The 20,041-nt window shown below is 38.9% G+C and overlaps 1 protein-coding gene across 2 annotated transcripts in view; it reads left to right on the top strand.

Annotated features, from left to right (window-relative positions):
• WDR12 (WD repeat domain 12) overlaps positions 1-20,041 on the top strand; it is a 37,413-nt gene that overhangs the window by 5,081 nt on the left and 12,291 nt on the right. Inside the window, exons 3-8 of one of the 2 annotated variants that reach the window (NM_018256.4) lie at positions 5,474-5,568; positions 6,956-7,062; positions 9,178-9,293; positions 10,374-10,528; positions 11,967-12,012; positions 13,891-13,976. In NM_018256.4, coding sequence (NP_060726.3) covers positions 5,474-5,568; positions 6,956-7,062; positions 9,178-9,293; positions 10,374-10,528; positions 11,967-12,012; positions 13,891-13,976 — 605 coding nt within the window. The remainder of the gene's footprint in view (positions 1-5,473; positions 5,569-6,955; positions 7,063-9,177; positions 9,294-10,373; positions 10,529-11,966; positions 12,013-13,890; positions 13,977-20,041) is intronic. The other variant, NM_001371664.1, reaches the window with a different exon arrangement.

The following is a 20,041-nucleotide window of genomic DNA, read 5'->3' as shown; positions in this document are numbered from 1 at the left end:
CATGCCCAGCCAGAGGCAAGTGTATTTTTATGCAGATGTTTCCAATGCTGCAGAGCTCTTCTGACTCTACCGTAGTTGGAGGAATGAGGAGGTAAGAGTTATAAACTAATGTGTAGTATTTTCCCCATCTTCGTCTTCAAATAATCACATAATTTTTTTGTGAAATTTGAGGTGATGTTTTTGAGCAACTTTATTGGCTTGGGGTGGGGGAGGAGGGGACAGGGTTTGCAATCTTTTTATTGCTAGTTACAGTTCAATATTCAATATTCAAGGATATTTACATAGCATTTCCTGTTGCTCCTTGTTTTTGTTTTCATCATGGATATATAGAGATTCTGATGCATAGTTACCTTTATAAATTTCAAAACTGTTATATAGTCTATTTGTTGAACAAGTCTTTGAACTAGAATAAGAAATATTCTTTTTAATTTTTGTAGGTACGTGGTAGGTGTATCTATGGGGTACATTAGATATTTTGATACAGGCATATAAGGTGTAATAATCACATCAGGGTAAATGAGGTATCCATCACCTCAAGCATTTATCCTTTGTGTTACAAACAATCCAATTATACTCTTCGTTGTTTTTAAATGTATAATTAAATTATTGACTATAGTCATCCAGTTGTGCTATCAAATACAAGATCTTATTTATTCTTTCAATTCTTTTGTACCCATTAACCATCCATTTCCACTTGCCTCTCACTTCCCCCACTACCCTTCTCAGTGTCTGGTAACTCTCCTTCTACTCTGTATCTCCATGAGTTCAATGTTTTAATTTTTAGCTCCCACAAATAAGTGAGAATATGCAAAGTTTGTTTTCTGTGCCTGGCTTATTTCACTGAACATAATGACCTCCAATTCTACCCATGTTGTTGTAAATGACAGGATCTCATTCTTTTTTATGGCTGAATAGTACTCCATTGTGTAGAAGTATTGATTTCCTGATTTCTCTACTTTTGAGTATATACCTAGCAGTGCTATTGCTGGATCATATGGTAGCTCTATTTTTAGTTTTTTGAGGAATCTCCAAACTGTTCTCCATAGTAGTTGTACTAATTGACATCCCCACCAAGGTTTATGAGGGGTCCCTTTTCTCCATATCCTCACCAGCATTTTTTATGGCGTGACTTTCAGATAAAAGCCATTTTGGCCTGGCGTGGTGGCCCACGCCTGTAATCCCAGCACTTTGGGAGGCCAAGGTGGGTGGATCATGAAGTCAAGAATTTGAGACCAGCCTGGGCAAAATAGTAAACCCCATCTCTACTACAAATACAAAAATTAGCCAGGCATGGTGGCAGGTGCCTGTAAACCCAGCTACTCAGGAGGCTGAAGCAGGAGAATTGCTTGAACCCGGGAGGCGGAAGTTGTAGTGAGCCGAGCTCGTGCCACTGCACTCCAACCTGGGTGACAGAGCAGGACTCCGTCTTGGGAGGGGTGGGGAAAAACGCCATTTTATCTGGGGTGAAATGATATCTCATTGTAGTTTTGATTTGTATTTCACTGATGATCAGTGATGGTGAGCACCCTTTCATTTACCTGTTTGCCATTTGAATTTTCTTTTGAGAAATGTATGTTCAAACCTTTTGCCCAATTTTTAATCAGATTATTAAATTTTTACCTACAGAGCTTTTTGAGCTCCTTATATATTCTGGTTATTAATCCCTTGTCAGATGGGTAGTTGGCAAATAATTATTCCCATTCTGTGGGTTGTCTCTTCACTTTGTTAATTGTTTCCTTTGCTGTGCTTTTTAACCTGATGGGATCGCATTTGTCTATTTCTGCTTTGATTGCCTGTGCTTGTGTGGTATTACTCAAGAAATTTTTGCCCAGACCACTGCCCTGGGGAGTTTCCCCAATGTTTTCTTGTATTAGTTTCATAGTTCGAGGTCTTACAAATATTTAAGTCTTTAATCCCTTTTGTTTTGACTTTTGTATGTGGCAAGAGATAGGGGTCTAGTTTCATTTTTTTTGCATATGGATACCCAGTTTTTCCAGCACCATTATTGAAGAGACTGGCTGTTCCCCAGTGTAGGTTTGAGTTCACTGTAGATGTGTGGATTTGTTTTGGCTTCTCTATTCTGTTCCATTGGTGTATGTGTCTGTTTTTATGCCAGTACCATGCTGTTTTGGTTACTATAGCTCTGTAGTATAATTTGAAGTCAGGTAATGTGATTCCTCCAAGTTTGTTCTTTTTGCTTAAGGTAGCTTTGGCTATTCTGGTTCTTTTGTGGTTCCATGTAAATTTTAGGATTTTTTTTTTTCTGTGAAGAATGTCATTGGTATTTTGATAAGGATTGCATTGAATCTGTAGGTTGCTTTGGGTACTATGGACATTTTAACAATATTAAATTCTTCCAATCCATGATCCTGGAATATCTTTCCATTTTTTTGTGTCCTCTTCAATTTCTTTTTTTCTTTTTCTTTTCTTTTTTTTTTTTTTTTTTTTTTTTTTGAGACAGAGTTTCACTCTTGTTGCCCAGGTTGGAGTGCAATTGCGTAATCTCACCTCATGGCGACCTCCACCTCCCGGTTTCAAGCGATTCTCCTGCCTCAGCCTCCTGAGTAGCTGGGATTACAGGTGCCTGCCACCACGCCCAGCTAATTTTTGTATTTTTAGTACAGCCTTGGTTTCACCATGTTGGCCAGGCTGGTCACGAGCTCCTGACCTCAGGTGATCCACCCGTCTCAGCCTCCCAAAGTTCTGGGATTACAGGCATGAGCCACTGCACCCAGCCCTCTTCAATGTCTTTCATCGATGTTTTATAGTTTTTGTTGTAGAGATCTTTCACTTCTTTGGTTAATTCCTAGGTATTTTATTTGTGGCTACTGTAAGTAGAAATACTTTCTTGATTTCTTTTTCTGATTGTTCGCTGTTAGCATATAGAAATGCTACTGATTTTTGTATCATGCAACTTTACTGAATTTATCAGTCCTAATTGGTTTTTGGTAAAATAAAGATTATATCAAATATAACGTTATATCATTGATTTTTCCAAATATAAGATCAAATCATCTGCAAACAAGGATAATGTGACATCTTCCTCTCCAATTTGGATGCCCTTCCTCCCTCCCTCCCTCCCTCCCTCACTTCCTTCCTTCCTTCCTTCCTTCCTTCCTTCCTTCCTTCCTTCCTTCCTTCCTTCCATCTGATTGCTCTAGCTAGGACTTCCATTGCTGTGTTGAATAACAGTGGTAAAAGTGGGCATCCTTATCATGTTCCAGATGTTAGAGGAAAGGCTTTCAGTTTTTTCCCCATTTAGTATGGGGGTCTATTATATATGAATTTTATTATGTTGAAGTATGTTTTTCTATACCCAGTTTTTTGAGGGCTTTTATCATGAAAGGATGTTGAATTTTATCAAATGCTTTTTCAGCATCAATTGAAATGATCATATGCTTTTTGTCCTTCATTCTGTTGATATGATGTATATATTAGGGTTCTTTAGAGGGACAGGACTAATAGAATAGATGTATATATGAAAGAGAGATTTTTTGTTTTTTTGGTTTTTTTTGAGACGGAGTCTTGCTCTGTCGCCCAGGCTGGAGTGCAGTGGCACGATCTCGGCTCACTGCAACCTCCACCTCCCGGGTTCAAGCAATTCTCCTGCTTCAGCCTCCCGAGTAGCTGGGATTACAGGCGCGTGCCACCACACCCGGCTGGCTAATTTTTGTAGTTTTAGTAGAGACGGGGTTTCACCATGCTGGTCAGGCTGGTCTTGAACTCTTGGCCTCCCAAAGTACTGGGATTACAGGTGTGAGCCACTGCGCACAGCCGAGAGGGAGTTTATTAAGGAGTATTGACTCACACGATCACAAGATGAAGTCCTACGATAGGCTGTCTGCAAGATGAGGAGCAAGGAGGCCAGTCCGAGTCCCAAAACCTCAAAAGTAGGGAAGCCGGCAGTACAGCCTTCAGTCTATGGCCAAACACCTGAGAATCCCTGGCAAACCACTGGTCCAAGAATCCAAAAGCTGTAGAACTTGGAGTTCAATGTTTGAGGGCAGGAAGCACAGGAGTAAGATAAAGGCCTGAAGACTGATCCAGTCTAGTCCTTCCACATTCCTCTGCCTCCTTTTATCCTAGCCATGCTGGCAGCTGATTAGATGGTACCTACCCAGATAGAGGGTAGGTCTGCCTCTTCCATTCCACTGTCTCAAATGTTCATCTCGTTTGGCATCACCTTCACAGACACACCCAGGAACAATACTTTGCATCCTTCAATCCAATCAAGTTGACACTCAGTGTTAACCATCACAGTGTATTACATTGATTTGTGTATGTTGAACTATTCTTGCATCCCTGGGATAAATCTTACTTGGTCATGATGATCTTCTTAATGTGTTGTTGAATTTGGTTTGCAAGTATTTTGTTGAGGAAAGAATTATTCCTGTAAGAGAAGCTTTGCAATTCCAGTATGTTACCCAAATAGTTGGGTAACATTTTTCTAAACATATAGACCGAACATTATTCCTTCTGTATAGACTGTTACCATATTGCAACTCTGAAAGAAATGAATGTAAGTACAGTATTGGTTCTCAATAGCTGTTAATCCCGATAATTAGGTAAAAGACTGACAAGGAGCATTATGGTGGATAGAATCAGACTGATATAATCCAAGCCCTATGATGGGTCTTAATATCTTAAAAAGAGACACAACCAGAACCTATTTACATCCTGATGGGATGTAACAGGAAATAGACAATACTGCCTGTGAATATTCTTGTCAAAAAAAACCCAAAAAACCCTGAAATCTAACCAGGCATTTACCATTTACCTCTGACTAGTTTATAGGATATTTGTGTGATAAAGAAGCATGTTAAAGGACACCTTGGAGATGGAGTCAACAAAACCCAGAATGTTACAAAACAGATGACCCACTTTCATCAACAAATACATGGCAAGGAGAAAAAGGAGGAGGAACTGTTAAAGATTAAAAGAAACATTAATCAAATATAATGTATGGATTATGGATGCTGATTTTTGAAAGCTCACTGTAAAAGAACATTGACTATTTGATGTTAGAAGGAGTGATTGTTAAATTTTAAAATATTGTGACAAATTTTTGAAGTCCTTATATTTTAGAGATACATACTAAAGTATTTACAGATGAAATGATATAATTTCTGAGATTTGCTTTAAAATAAACCAGCCGGGGAATGGAGGGTGGAATATAGATGATGTCCCATTAGTTGGTGGATGTCAAAATGGGCAATAGTGATGAGATTCATTGTTATTTCTACTTTTGTGTATGTTTGAAATAATAAAAGTTTTCTAAACCAAAATAATTACACCAACAACAGTAAAAAGACATTATACTAACAGAACAAAGTATTTCTGATCTTAAAAATCACAGAGAAACTCAGGCCACACTGGGATAATAGGTACCTGTTTGTTTTGGGAGTTCTCATATACCTCTGCCAATATTACTTTAGACACTAAGAGTGATAATTTTGTTATGTATTTTCCTCAGAGTTCCACAAACATGTGGAGTTTGATTTCCTTATTAAGGGCCAGTTTCTGCGAATGCCCTTGGACAAACACATGGAAATGGAGAACATCTCATCAGTAAGTTCAAATTCTTATCTTCTGTATTTCACTTGAGGCATTATCGGCTATTGTAGGTAAACTCCTTTTAGAATCACACTGAATCTATCTTTAGTAGCAAAGATTCTTTTTAATATATTGGCTATATATGTTGTGTGTGTTATGTATTGTGTGTATATTTTATGTGTGTATTGAATATATATAGTGTGTGTGTATATATATATGTATATTCCTGTATATTCAATTTTGAAGCCCTCTTTTTTTGTGAGAGTGTTTTATTCAAGAAATAAATGAACACATTCTTTATATTTGTGGAAGAACTGGCAAGAAAGGGAATAGCAAATATGTGTGTACAAATACTGGTGCACAAAATAACTGGGCAAATATAAAAACTATGGGTTAAGTTACTGTTATTTTTCCCTTTTATTTTCAAAGTTTCCTTATATTGCTTTTATGATTAAAAATATAACTTATAATTGTTGCTTGTTTTGTGATTTTAAAAATTGTGGTAAAATATACATAACATAAAATTTAGAATTTTAACCATTTTTAAGTATACAATTCAGTGGCATTAAGTGCCTTTGCAGTATTATGCAACCATCACCATTTTCCAGAATTGTTTCCTTATCCTAAACAGAAGACCTGTACCCATTAAACAATGTGCTTTTTTTCTTAATTTTAATGTTTTCTTTTATCTTCTTTTTTTTTTTTTTTTCTGAGACAGAGTCTCCATCTGTTGCCCAGGCTGGAGTGCAATGGCACAGTCTTGGCTCACTGAAACCTCTACCTCCTGGGTACAAATGATTCTTGCGCCTCAGCCTCCAAAGTAGTGGGATTGCAGGCATCTGCCACCACGCCTGGCTAATTTTTGTATCTTCAGTAGAGACAGAGTTTCACCATGTTGGCCAGGCACATCTTGAACTCCTGATCTTAGGTGATCCACCCGTCTCGGCCTCCCAAAGTGCTGGGGTTATGGGTGTGAGCCACTGCACCTGGCCTAAGGCTTTCTTATATTCCTTTCCCCCCCATTTGCAGCATAAGTTGTACAAGGCGATTAATATTTCTTCTTTTTAAAATTTTTGTTAGGAGACAGGGTCTTGCTTTGTTGCCTGGGCTGGACTTGAACTCCTAGGCTGAAGCAGTCCTCCTGCCCCAGCTTTCCTAATGTTAATAGCTGGGACTACAGGTGTGAGTCACCATGCCAAGCTATTATTTCCTAATATCACTCTTAGCTTACAGTTAGGTCAAATAAAGTTCTTGACTTTTTGAATGGCTCCAAATTTGCTGAGTTATAAAGGGGACTAATATGAAGGATATAAAGGAGATATATTAAATTGGGGGTTATCTTCATAATGTAATATTTTAAAACTAGACCACCTGACTTGTTGCTGGTTTCTCTTGTGATTAGGAAGAAGTTGTGGAAATAGAATACGTGGAGAAGTATACTGCACCCCAGCCAGAGCAATGCATGTTCCATGATGACTGGATCAGTTCAATTAAAGGGGCAGAGGAATGGTATTGCCAGATTAATGCCCTTCTCTTTTTTTTGTTTTGTTTTTACCTCCTTCAGTCTTTTTAAATCCATATATACATATTTTTCTGTGATTTAATGTTATTTGTAAATTAATTTTGTGATCTCTGTATCAGTGGCCATGGCAAACAGAAAGATCTTTTCATTCAGTGTCTTCAAGAAGAAACAGGTGGCTGGGTGCAGTGGCTCATGCCTGTAATCCCAGCACTTTGGGAGGCCGAGGAGGGTGGATTACGAGGTTGGGAGATCGAGACCATCCTGGCTAACATGGTGAAACCCTGTCTCTACTAAAAAAGTACAAAAAATTAGCCGGGCGTGGTGGTGGGCGCCTGTAGTCCCCGCTACTTGGGAGGCTGAGGCAGGAGAATGGCGTGAACCTGGGAGGTGGAGCTTGCAGTGAGCTGAGATGGCCCCACTGCACTCAAGCCTGGGCAACAGAATGAGACTCTGTCTCAAAAAAAAAAAAAAAAAAAAAAAAAAAACCACAGGTATTTATTAATAGGTACTCTTTTTCTGTTCTGTTCAATATGTGGTAGTAACAATTATTGTTGCCTTTTTTTTTTTTTTTTTAAACGGGGTCTCTCTCTCTTGCCCAGGCTGGTCGCAAACTCCTGGGCTCAAGCAGTCCTCCTGCCTCAGCCTCCTGAATAGGTGGGATTTCTCTACACCCAGCAATATTTGTCTTCTGAATAAGTCATGTATCTTAGAGCATTTAATTTATTTGGTTCGATTATGTTGCTTTTAAGACCAAGGATATAGTTTGTTTCATAAAGGAAAAAAGTAACTTTTATAGCCATAGATCTCCTGGCCTAATACCTTAAAGATGCATAGCATACTATTTTAGGGCTAGAAGGAGCAGACTGGACTCAGCAAAGAAGGTACAGATATCTTAGGGCAAATCCTCACTGGCCTTACTTGTAGGAAAACAACTCAAGAGTAGATTATGGTAGGAGCTTCTTTCAAAGAATGCCTTCTTGGAGTTATTACATAAAGTTATATTTCTCCTAGTTTTACTTTTAGTTTAAATGGTTTTCACTGGTTAAGTACAAAATACTTCAGGTGGACAGCCAGGCGCGTGGCTCACGCCTGTAATCACAGCACTTTGGGAGCCTAAGGCAGGTGGATCACTTGAGATCAGAAGTTTGAGACCAGCCTGGCCAAAATATTGAAACCTGTCTCTACCAAAAATATAAAAAATTAGCCAGGTATGGCGGTCTGTGCCCATAGTCCCAGTTACTCGGGAGGCTGAGGCAGGAGAATCACTTGAACCCAGGAGGCAGAGGTTGCAGTGAGCTGAGATCGCGCCACTGCCTTCCAGCCTGGGCAACAGAGCAAGACTCCATCTCAAAAAGAAAAAAGAGTACTACAGGTTGGGTATTCCTTATCTGGAAATGTTTGGTACCAGAAGTATTTTGGATGTAGGATTTTTTTTGGGTGGGGGTGGTTTTGGAATATTAACATATACATAGTGAAATATTTTAGGGATGTGATCCAAGTCTAAACATGAAATTCATTTATGTTTCATATACAGCTTATACACCTAGCCTGAAAGTAATTTTATACTATGTATATATATGATATATATTTTTTATATATATATATATATTTTTTTTTTTTTTTTTTTTTGAAACGGAGTCTCGCTCTGTCACCCAGGCTGGTGTGCAGTGGCGCAATCTCGGCTCACTGCAAGCTCTGCCTCCTGGGTTCACGCCATTCTCCTGCCCCAGCCTCCTGAGTAGCTGAGACTACAGGCACCCGCCACCATGCCTGGCTAATTTTTTGTATTTTTAGTAGAGACAGGGTTTCACTGTGTTAGCCAGAATGGTCTCGATCTCCTGACCTCGTGATCCGCCTGCCTCAGCCTCCCAAAGTGCTGGGATTACAGGCGTGAGCCACCACGCCCAGCCATGCCAGGTATTATTTTTAGGAGGTTGAGAAACGTCAAGTGATCTGATCTAGTATGGCTTGAAATCTCAATCTTCATATCAAAAAAGAGTTTAAAAGTATAATCCTCAAAGTTACTTTGTCATTGCCAAAGAAACATTTCAGGGTTTGGAAAAACTGCTTTTTGTGTTTCATAAGATTTTTTTTTCTCATAGGATCTTGACTGGTTCTTATGATAAGACTTCTCGGATCTGGTCCTTGGAAGGAAAGTCAATAATGACAATTGTGGGACATACGGATGTTGTAAAAGATGTGGCCTGGGTGAAAAAAGGTTAGGACAGTTTGCCTACACTTAGAGGAATCCTAGATAGGGATTTGGAAATAAGCCATTTTTGGTGCTGGGGAAGAATGGGGAGTGGGTGGGAAGTATCTCATACCTCAGTTATTATGAGGTCTTTCAAAAAATACAGTGTTCAAGAAGAAAAAGATTATATAAAAAATTCATAAATTGTTAGAAGTGTATCTTTATTAAAATTACATCAGATAATATACATTTTCAAGTTAATATTGAATGTATTACATTCATCTTTTATTTTCTTCTGTTTTTGTTTGTTTGTTTTGTTTTGTTTTGTTTTGTTTTGTTTTTGAGATAGTCTCGCTGTGTCACCCAGGCTAGCGTGCAGTGGCATGATCTCGGCTCACTGCAACATCCACTTCCCAGGTTCAAGCGATTCTCCTGCCTCAGCCTCTCGAGTAGCTGGGACTACAGGCACCTACCATCACGCCTGGCTAATTTTTGTATTTTTAGTAGAGACGGGGTTTCACCATCTTGGCCAGGCTGATCTCGAACTCCTGACATCATGATCCACCCGCCTTGGCCTCCCAAAGTGCTGGGATTACAGGCGTGAGCCACTGCACCCAGCCTGTTTGTTTGTTTTTTGAGGCAGAGTCTCACTCTGTCGCCCAGGCTAGAGTGTAGTGGCTCCATCTCAACTCACTGCAACTTCCACCTCCTGAGTTCAAGTGATTCTCCTGCCTCAGCCTCCTGAGTGGCTGCAATTACAGGCGCCTGCCACCACACCCGGCTAATTTTTATATTTTTAGTAGAGGCAGGGTTTTGCCATGTTGGCCAGGCTGGTCTCAAACTCCTGACCTCAAGTGATCTGCCTGTGTTGGCCTCCCAAAATGTCAGTATTTACAGGCGTGAGCCACCACACCCAGTCATCGTCATCTATTTTTGAAGAATCTTTTCTTTATACCACATCAGCCTTTTAAAACCTGGCCATATGAGTTATCTTTTTAACATCTTTTTCAATAACAACAAAAAAATTTAGTTCTTTGGTTTCAGAACATGATGTATTCTAAATGGTATACTGATTTGTTTCTTATTCTTGTGTTCTCCTTTCTCCAGATAGTTTGTCCTGCTTATTATTGAGTGCTTCTATGGATCAGACTATTCTCTTATGGGAGTGGAATGTAGAGAGAAACAAAGTGAAAGCCCTACACTGCTGTAGAGGTCATGCTGGAAGTGTAGATTCTATAGCTGTTGATGGCTCAGGAACTAAAGTAAGTAGCTAGAATATTATTAGTACTCTGTTAAATTTGAATTTGAGCTTGTTGCTAAACATTTTCTTCTGCATATATTCATTGTGTTGGCCTAGTTTCCTAACAATCGGTGACAAAAGATAGGATTTCAAAGCAAGAGTAAATACTCATACAATAGGAGATAGTCACTTGCTCAGTTTGAATCCCTGGTTTAGAACCTTATATAAACTCCAGAAATTTTAAGAAATGAGGTATGGGCCGGGCGCGGTGGCTCACGCCTGTAATCCCAGCACTTTGGGAGGCCGAGGCGGGCAGATCACCTGAGGTCAGGAGTTCAAGACCAGCCTGACCCACATGGAGAAACCCTGTCTCTACTAAAAAAAAAAAAAAAAAAAATAAGCCGGGCATGGTGGCGCATGCCTGTAATCCCAGCTACTCGGGAGGCTGAGGTAGGAGAATCACTTGAACCCGGGAGACAGAGGTTGCAGTGACCGAGATTGCACCGTTGCACTCCAGCCTGGGCCCAACAAGAGTGAAACTCAGTCTCAAAAAAAAAAAAAAAAAAAAAGAAAGAAATGAAGTAAACAAGCCATTCATTTATATAACCTTCTTACCTCATAGTAATTGACATATTTCCAGTCTATATCAGCTACTCTTAAGTGCTGTCATCAACTGAAAACGCCTAGTTGATAGTCTGAGCATTAGCATACACTAAAGTTAGTGCTAATAGAGTTTTACTATAGTATCAATCTACTCTTTATCATGACAAAATGGTAAAAGTTAGTTAAAAGGTAACAAACCTGAGGGCAATACCATATTGATTTATTAATATGAAGGGTTATAAATCCACTTAGAATTTGAAAGTTTCCTAAGCCACATTGAAGTATTCTGGACTTAAGAGTGTTTCTTTGACAGTTAGGGTAACAGGATGCTTGTATTCAAAGGTGAAGATTTATGATTTTTCATATTGAGCCGAAAAGTTTTATATGTTGTTTAGTCCAAACTTTAGTGGATTAACTGTACCTCTTCTTTTTGGTTAAGGAGAGATAGAAACTCAACTTGAACTTATTTAACCTTAAAAGTAAATGGATTGTGAGATCCAAGGAAAGATTGAACAACCACATCACAAGAAGGGTAATGGTGCATTTGGGCCTCAGGAACCAGTGGAATAGAGGCTTGAATGTGGTCCGCACACCCTCTCGCTGTCTTGTCCCTCAAGTTGACTTTATTCTCTCTCACTTCAGATTGGCTTTCTTCAAAAGACATGGCAATAAGCTTGGCCTTCAAGATTTCCCAGATTTTATGTTCTGTCCTATCTGCCCCTGGAAAAAGGCTAATTTCAGTTCTGTGGAACACAAGTTCTTTGAAAAGGTCCTGAATGAGGAAGAGACCTACTGTTGTAGGCAAATAATATGAATCATATTACATATGTCTTTTCCCTTCATATACATCTGTTTAGTTTTGCAGTGGCTCCTGGGATAAGATGCTAAAGATCTGGTCTACAGGTAAATTAAATATTTATTTTACCTTGACTTAATAATGTTGTTTCAAAAATTTAAATTCGGAGGCTATATGGTGGCTTACGCCTATAATCTCAGCACTTCAGGAAGCCAGGGTAGAAGGATCACTTGAGGCCACGAGTTCAAGAGCAGCCTAGGCCACATAGTGAGACCCCGTCTCTACTAAAAGTAGAAAATTAAAATTAGCAAGGTGTGGTGGTATGCACCGGTAGTCCTAGCTCCTTGGGAGGCTGAGGTAAGGGGATTGTTTGAGCCTAGGAGTTTGAGGTTTCAGTGAGCTATGATACCATGCCACTGCACTTCAGCCAGGGTGATGGAGTGAGAACCTGTCTCAAAAAAAAAAAATCAGTTTAGTGAAAGGGGACTTTTTAACCCATATTTTGCCATAAAAAGAGACCAGTATGGCAACAAATTCATATATTTCTTTGTGTTTCAAGATTTTTTTTTTCCTACCCCACCACCCCCTTACTTACAGGATAGTGTCACTGAATTGCAAGTATCAAAAACATGTTTGGTGCAATAGGACATAAATACCTTGATTCTCAAAGTTCTCTTATTCAGGAAACTTGGAAGTAAATAAAAATACTTTCCGAGCCATTTTGACTTAAGTAATGTAAGAATGACTTTTGAGTCATTTTACTGTTAATTTCTTAGGTAAGCTGGTTTACTTAAAAAAATTTTTCAATGCAGTTTTACCAATATTAATATTTTTACTCTGAAAGCATAGATTAAAAGGAGCAAATTGAGGGAGGAGGAGGAAGGACTTTGAGAGGAAGGTGCTTTCATAGTAGTAAGAAGACACTGATGAGAAGAAAAGAGGAAAAAACACACACCCATAGATACTTACATTTTAAGACCTAGTAGCTACAACTATTTATTGCATAGGTAAACAAATCAGAATACCTCTGTTACTTTTTAGGTAATTGCTGTGTTACACAGTATAATACCCCAAATGCATTTCACAAAGACTTGAGGGGGATCAAGAAAAGCTTAACCAGTTTTGAATAATTATGTGTAAGATGGTGGGAAATATATAATCCGTTTTAGTAGATTTTACAAAAATGATGAAAGCAAATAATTTGGTGGCAAAAAGTGATTTAGTTTAGAAAATTCTTTAGTAGAATTTTTTATTTTTTGATAGGGCTGAGTAAATGAGATTGTATATGATTAGCTATTAACTTTAAGTGGTTTATAATCTAGTTTGAGAAATATTAATATCCATAAAAGCCACAAAACGTTTTAATGTTTTACATATTTTGTTACATATTTAATGTAACATAATATGCATGTTACTATATATAACATATAATGTAACATACATTACATATTTAATGTTGCATATTTTATGTAGTTTTCAATCTGGGTTTGCTGCTTAACCAAGTGATGTATAACAAAGATTTTAAAAACTCAAAAAAACCAGAAACATTTTTGGTAGAAAAATGAAATTAAGAGAATAAACATGGCTGAAATGTATGTGCGTTTATCATGTGTTTACTTTATCCTTCCCTCCTTCATAATGTAAATGTAATGTCATAACTCTCCTACAACTAACAGTAAGCAATTTTTCATAGCTATGATAAAATGATAAATATTTATAATGATGACCTTAAAGATAGCAAGATTTTAAATTACTTAGATTTTAGTTTTCTAATATAGTTTATGTTTTATTTTTTATTTTTAGAGATTGGTAATCTAGGTAATATTTTATATATAACTTTCTGTTAACCAAAATGATGAGGAATATTCATTCCCTAACTGTGTGATAACGTGGAAAAACTATATCTGGAAATGTAAAGAATTCTTTCAGACAGTTCACGATTAATACTGTTTTTAAAATGTCAAATCTAATTCTCTATGACACAGTCCCTACAGATGAAGAAGATGAAATGGAGGAGTCCACAAATCGACCAAGAAAGAAACAGAAGACAGAACAGTTGGGACTAACAAGGGTCAGTATTTGTGAGAACTGACTGTACTTGCCTTAGGCCTGTGTTGACAAATAGATGGTAATTTAATATGGTCTTTTTTGTTTATGTTGCCTTCTGTCTTACCTTGCTGCTTTAACCATGATTATCCTTTTTTTCAGTAGACTTGTAAATTTTTATTATAAGCAAAGTATTGTTGCTACATTTATTTGTATCTTTGAATGTAGTGGCATTGAGCCAGGCTTATGGTTGCTAGGTTGATGATTTAGTTATTATGTTTGATCTCATGTTGCATTCTGGACCTTTTAATTATTAAAACTTACACTAAAGTGAAGCATCTAATTACCTGGCTGTTGGATAATATTATCTGTTTCATGCACTGAGTATGTAATTTTTATAAGGGATCCTAGTTATATCTTCTAAATCACTAGAAACCAAGAGTTTAATTTGGGATTTGATTCTGTCATTTAGCTGTTAGATTCCATTAAGTCAAACTCAGAAAGTTTATCCAGATTTTTTCTTACTTTTAAAAATACTTAATTGATAAAGATTGAACATATTCAACGTGTACTACATGATTAGATACACATAAACATTGTGTAATGATTACTGCAATCAAATTAATTAACACATCCATCACCACCCATGCTGTACATTAGATCCCCAGAACTTGTTCATCTTATAACCGAAAGTTTGTGCCCTTGGACCAACATTTCCCCATTTCCTCACACTCCAGTTCCCGGCAACCACTGTTGTACTCTGTGCTTCCATGAGTTTGACTTTTCATGCAGATTATTATTTATCCTGTTACAAAGATATTTGTTATAATGTGACCTGACCTGTATTTATATACTTTTTGTGAAGGGCAATACTGAGTCAGGTTTAGAAAAACACTTTTCATTCATTTTCTAATAGCTATAATGAATGTGCAGTAAATAAAGCACACATTTGCACATTAATTCTTATAGTCACCAATAAAATATCTTGTAAAAATTGTTGAAAATGAATAAAATGGGATCATAAATTATTTATCAAATAGAATGTAATATTAGCGCTTACTGGTTCCAGCTGAAAGTAATGATTTATAATTTCTTAATACATTTAAACATAGACTGATGAATTGCAAGAGGAAAGATCTGGCACTTACTCAACTTCTTTACTCTGGTAGGCTAAATTAAAGCTAGAAATGGAGGCCAACTGTGGTGGCTCAGGCCTATAATCCCAGCACTTTGGGAGGCCAAGGCGGGCAGATTGCTTGAGCTCAGGAGTTTGAGAGCAGCCTGGGCAACATGGTGATACCCTGTCTCTACAAAAAATTTTTTAAAAGTTAGCTGGATGTGGTGGCTTGCACCTGTGGTCCCAGCTACGCCCAGCCCAGGAGGCAGAGGTTGCAGTGAGCCAAGATTGCACCACTGGACTCTAGCCTGAGCAACAGAGTGAGACCCTGTCTCAAAAAATAAAATAAAAAATAAAGCTAGAAATGCCTTACCATTTGGATATTGTGCCAGTGGGAGTTTATATTCATGCATGTCCCTGGTCAAACTTTTAAAGAACATATCTGAGTAGGAAAAGATTTCCTGAGTTATAAAAATGTTTTACTGAGAAGGTAGCTCTTTTATTCTCTTTTTTTTTTTTTTTTTTTTTAAAGAGACAAAGTCTTGCTCTGTTGCCCAGGCTGGAGTGCAGTGGCACAATCATAGCTCACTATAACCTCAAACTCCTGGCCTCAGGTGATCCTCCCACCTCCACCTCCCAAAGTTCTGGGATTACAGGCTTGAGCCACCATGCTCTGCCAATTTTTTCTCTTTTTAAAGTTTGGCATGTAGCTTAAATGTTGCTCAATGAAAAAAAAAATTTTTTTTTTTTTTTTGAGACGGAGTCTCGCTCTGTCACCCAGGCTGGAGTGCAGTGGCGTGATCTCGGCTCACTGCAAGCTCCGCCCCCCGGGTTCACGCCATTCTCCTGCCTCAGCCTCCTGAGTAGCTGGGATTATAGGCACCCGCCACCATGCCTGGCTAATTTTTTGTATTTTTTTTGTAGAGACGGGGTTTCACCCTGTTAGCCAGGATGGTCTCGATCTCCTGACCTCGTGATCCACCCGCCTCGGCCTCCCAAAGTGCTGGGATTACAGGCGTGAGCCACCACACCCGGCCTGCTCAATGAATTTTTATAAATATGTATACTCAAGTAATTACTACCCAAATAAAAATATAGATATACCAGTACCCTAGATGTCTGCCTCTAGCCTGCCTCTCAACCAGTAGCTCCCTAAAGGTAATCACTTTTGAGTTGTGCCATCTTAGATTAGTTTTACCTATTTTTAAAATTTCATATGATATCTGTAAGATAGATCTTTTCATTAATATATGGCATTCCATTGCAGCATCAATATGCCACAATTTATCCATTATTGAGATAGGGTCTCACTCTGTCACCCAGGCTGGAGTACAGTGGCCTGATCATGGCTCACTGCAGCCTCAGCCTCCCCAGACTGAGGTGATCTTCCCACCCCAGCCTCCTGAGTAGCTAGGACTATAGGTGCATGCCACCATACCCAACTAATTTTTCTTTTTTTTTGTAGATATTGGGTTTTGTCATGTCACCCAGGTTGGTCTTGAACTCCTGGGCTCAAGTGATCTGCTTGCCTCAGCCTCCGAAAGCCTCTCAAAGTGGTGGGATTACAGACTTGAGCCAATACGCTCAGGCTATTTATTATTCTTTTGATGGACGTTTCTTTCCCCCCTTTTGAGAGGAGTGGTGCAGTGGCATAATCATGGCTCAGCTGCAGCCTCAACCTCCAGGGCTCACACAATCCTCACGCCTCAGCCTCTTGAGTAGCTGGAACTACAGGTGCATGCCACCATGCCCTGGCTAATTTTTTTTTTTTTTAAAGAGATGGGGTCTTGTTATATTGCCCAGGCTGGTCTTGAACTCCTGACCTCAAGCAGTCCTCCCACCTCGGCCTTCCAAAGTGCTGGGATTACGGGCGTGAGCTACCATGCCTGGCTGTTACTCCACATCTTTACCAGCACTTGATATGGTTACTTATTAAAGTCATGATTAACTTTTAATAAGCCCTGGATCTTTGATAATTATGAAATGTTCATATTTTTAGCTAATTTTTAAGTTGTTGTTATTCATTTTTTTATAGAGATGGTGTCTTGCTTTGTTGCCCGAGCTGTCTCAAACTCCTGGGCTGAAGCAGTCCTCCCACCTCATAGCCCATTTTTTAAAAGTGTTGGCTCTATTTTACTTATTGATTTTTTTGTTGTTGTTGTTTTGCTTTGTTTTTACTTACTGATTTGTAAGAGTTATTTATGTATTCTGGATTCAAGTTCTTTGCTGAATATATGTATTTAAGTATTTTCTCCCACTCTACTTTGCTGATACCATTTATTTCTAGGTGCATACTTTCGTAAGCTTGCTCCCATAGTTCATTTCGTTTGAGAGAAATAATAGTATATTGAGTTTCTCATTTAGCTTTTTTCCTCCTTTCACTGATTTTTCCTGAGAAATCATTTAGCTTTTTATAGGGTTTAAATTTATACATGCATAAATTATTAGTTTAAGTCATGCCAGAAACCTTTGAAGTGCCAATTACAATGAAAATGTTGCTGCGTTAGAAATAATAGAAAAATTTGGGGCCCGAGAAGGTGGCTAACACCTGTACTTTGAAGCCAACACTGGAGGATCACTTGAGCCTAGGAGTTTGAGACCAGCCTGGGCAACATAGCAAGACCCCATCTCTAAAAATTTAAAAATTAGCCAGGCATGGTAGTGTGCATCTGTATTCCCAGCTACTTGAGAGGTTGAAGTGGGAGGATCACTTGAGCCCAGGAAGTCAAGGCTGCTGTGAGTTACGATTGCACCACTGCACTCCAGTTTGGGCGACAGAGTGAGGCCTTGTCTCAAAAAAAGCAAAGAAAAATTTGGATTTTAGCAAAATAATAGAAAAAAGAGAAAAAACATATCAAAAATAGGTATCTTCTCTTTGCATTTCTTTCTACTGCCTGAAATGTGTTAATGTGAATAATGCTGCCAGTTCATTTACCTGTCATTTGCTTGATATATTAACATACAATAGTCTTTTCCTCCTTAATTCTCAAAATTGCTTTTTTCCCTCCAGTACTTCTGTTCCACTTAGTTTGTAGTGACAATGTCAATGTTGACTTTTCTACTTTTAAAGAAAAGTTTTATTAGAGGAAAATTCACTTTTTGGTGTATAACTATTTAGTTTTGATGAATATATAGAATCATGTAACTGCTACACAACCAAGATATAGAACAGTCCATCATTCCTGAAAACTCATATTGCCCCTTCTTGTCAACTTTCCTCCCACCTCTATCCTCTGAAAACCACTACTCTGTTCTCTGTCCCTGTAATTTTTCCAGAATGTCATATAAGTGCAGTCACACAGTATAGTGTATATAGCTTTTTGTATCGGGCCCTTTTCACTTAGCATAAAGCATTTGACATTTTTTGAGGTTGTTGGGGGTTATTGATGCTGAGTAGTATTCTGTGGTATGGATATGCCACAGTTGGTTTAATCATTCACCAGCTGAAGGATATTTGATTGTTTCCAGTTTGGCAGTTATAAGTAAAACTATCAACATTTGTATTTAGGTTTTTGTGTGAACCTGTTTTCATTTATCTTGGATAAATGCCTAGGAATGGTATAGCTTATTCATATGATAAGTTTGCCTATTGTTTTTACCATGTCATTTTCTTTTTTTTTTTTTTTTTTTGAGACGGAGTCTCGCTCTGTCGCCCAGGTCGGACTGCGGACTGCAGTGGCGCAATCTCGGCTCACTGCAAGCTCCGCTTCCCGGGTTCACGCCATTCTCCTGCCTCAGCCTCCCGAGTAGCTGGGACTACAGGCGCCCGCCACCGCGCCCGGCTAATTTTTTGTATTTTTAGTAGAGACGGGGTTTCACCTTGTTAGCCAGGATGGTCTCGATCTCCTGACCTCATGATCCACCCGCCTCAGCCTCCCAAAGTGCTGGGATTACAGGCGTGAGCCACCGCGCCCGGCCTACCATGTCATTTTCTATTCTAGAGCCTTCTGATTACCTCTATGTCACCTTTTCATTTTGTTTTAGATGACATCAGAGATTGTTCTGTTTCTCACTCCTCTATCAGGTTCCTTTACTTCTTTCAGGAAAATGCTAAGAGACCTCAGGGATCATTTGGTCTAGGAGTTGGCAAATTACAGCCCAACAGCCAGTTTGGCTGTCACCTATTTTTGTGCTACAGAGAGCTAAGGATGGTTTTTACAATTATAAGTGTTGTAAAAACAACCCCTTATTAAAACAACTGTGGGCCAAGTGCAGTGGGGCACCTGTAACCCCAGCACTCTGGGAGGCTGAGGCGGGCACATCACCTGCAGTCAGGAGTGAAGACCAGCCTGACCAACATGGTGAAACCCCGTCTGTACTAAAAATGCGAAAAGTTAGCCAGGCGTGGTGGCACGTGCCTGTAATCCCAGCTACTTGGGAGGCTGAGGCAGGAGAGTCGCTTGAACCTGGGAGGTGGAAGTTGCAGTAAGCCAAGCTTGTGCATTGCACTCTAGCCTGGGCGATGAGTGAAGCTCCATCTCAAAAAAACAAAAAACAAAACTGTGGTATTATTCATACAGCAGAATATTACTCAGCAAAGAAAAATATACAACAGAAACTGTGTATGGTCTCCAAAGGCTGAAATATTTACTTGCTGGTTCTTTACTGAAAAAGTTTGCTTTCTGATCCAGTTATAACTCCTAAATATTACAGATGAGGCAATATTTAAGGAAGTTAAATGTAGCAAAGTTATATAAAAGTAGATTGACTATCCCCTATTCCAGAATTCTTTTCCTCTTTTTTTTTTTTTTTTTTTTGAGATGGAGTTTCACTCTTGTTGCCCAGGCTGGAGTGCAGTGGCGCAATCTCGGCTCACTGCAACCTTTGCTTCCTGGGTTCAAGCGATTCTCCTGCCTCAGCCTCCTGAGTAGCTGGGATGACAGGCATGCACCACCACGCCTGGCTAATTTTGTAGTTTTAGTAGAGACGGGGCTTCTCCATGTTGGTCAGGCTGGTCTTGAACTCCTGACCTC

This window comes from Homo sapiens, chromosome 2 (assembly GCF_000001405.40).
Source record: "Homo sapiens chromosome 2, GRCh38.p14 Primary Assembly".
NCBI classification, from domain to species: Eukaryota; Metazoa; Chordata; class Mammalia; order Primates; family Hominidae; genus Homo; species Homo sapiens.
This window is presented reverse-complemented; position numbering and strand designations above follow the sequence as displayed.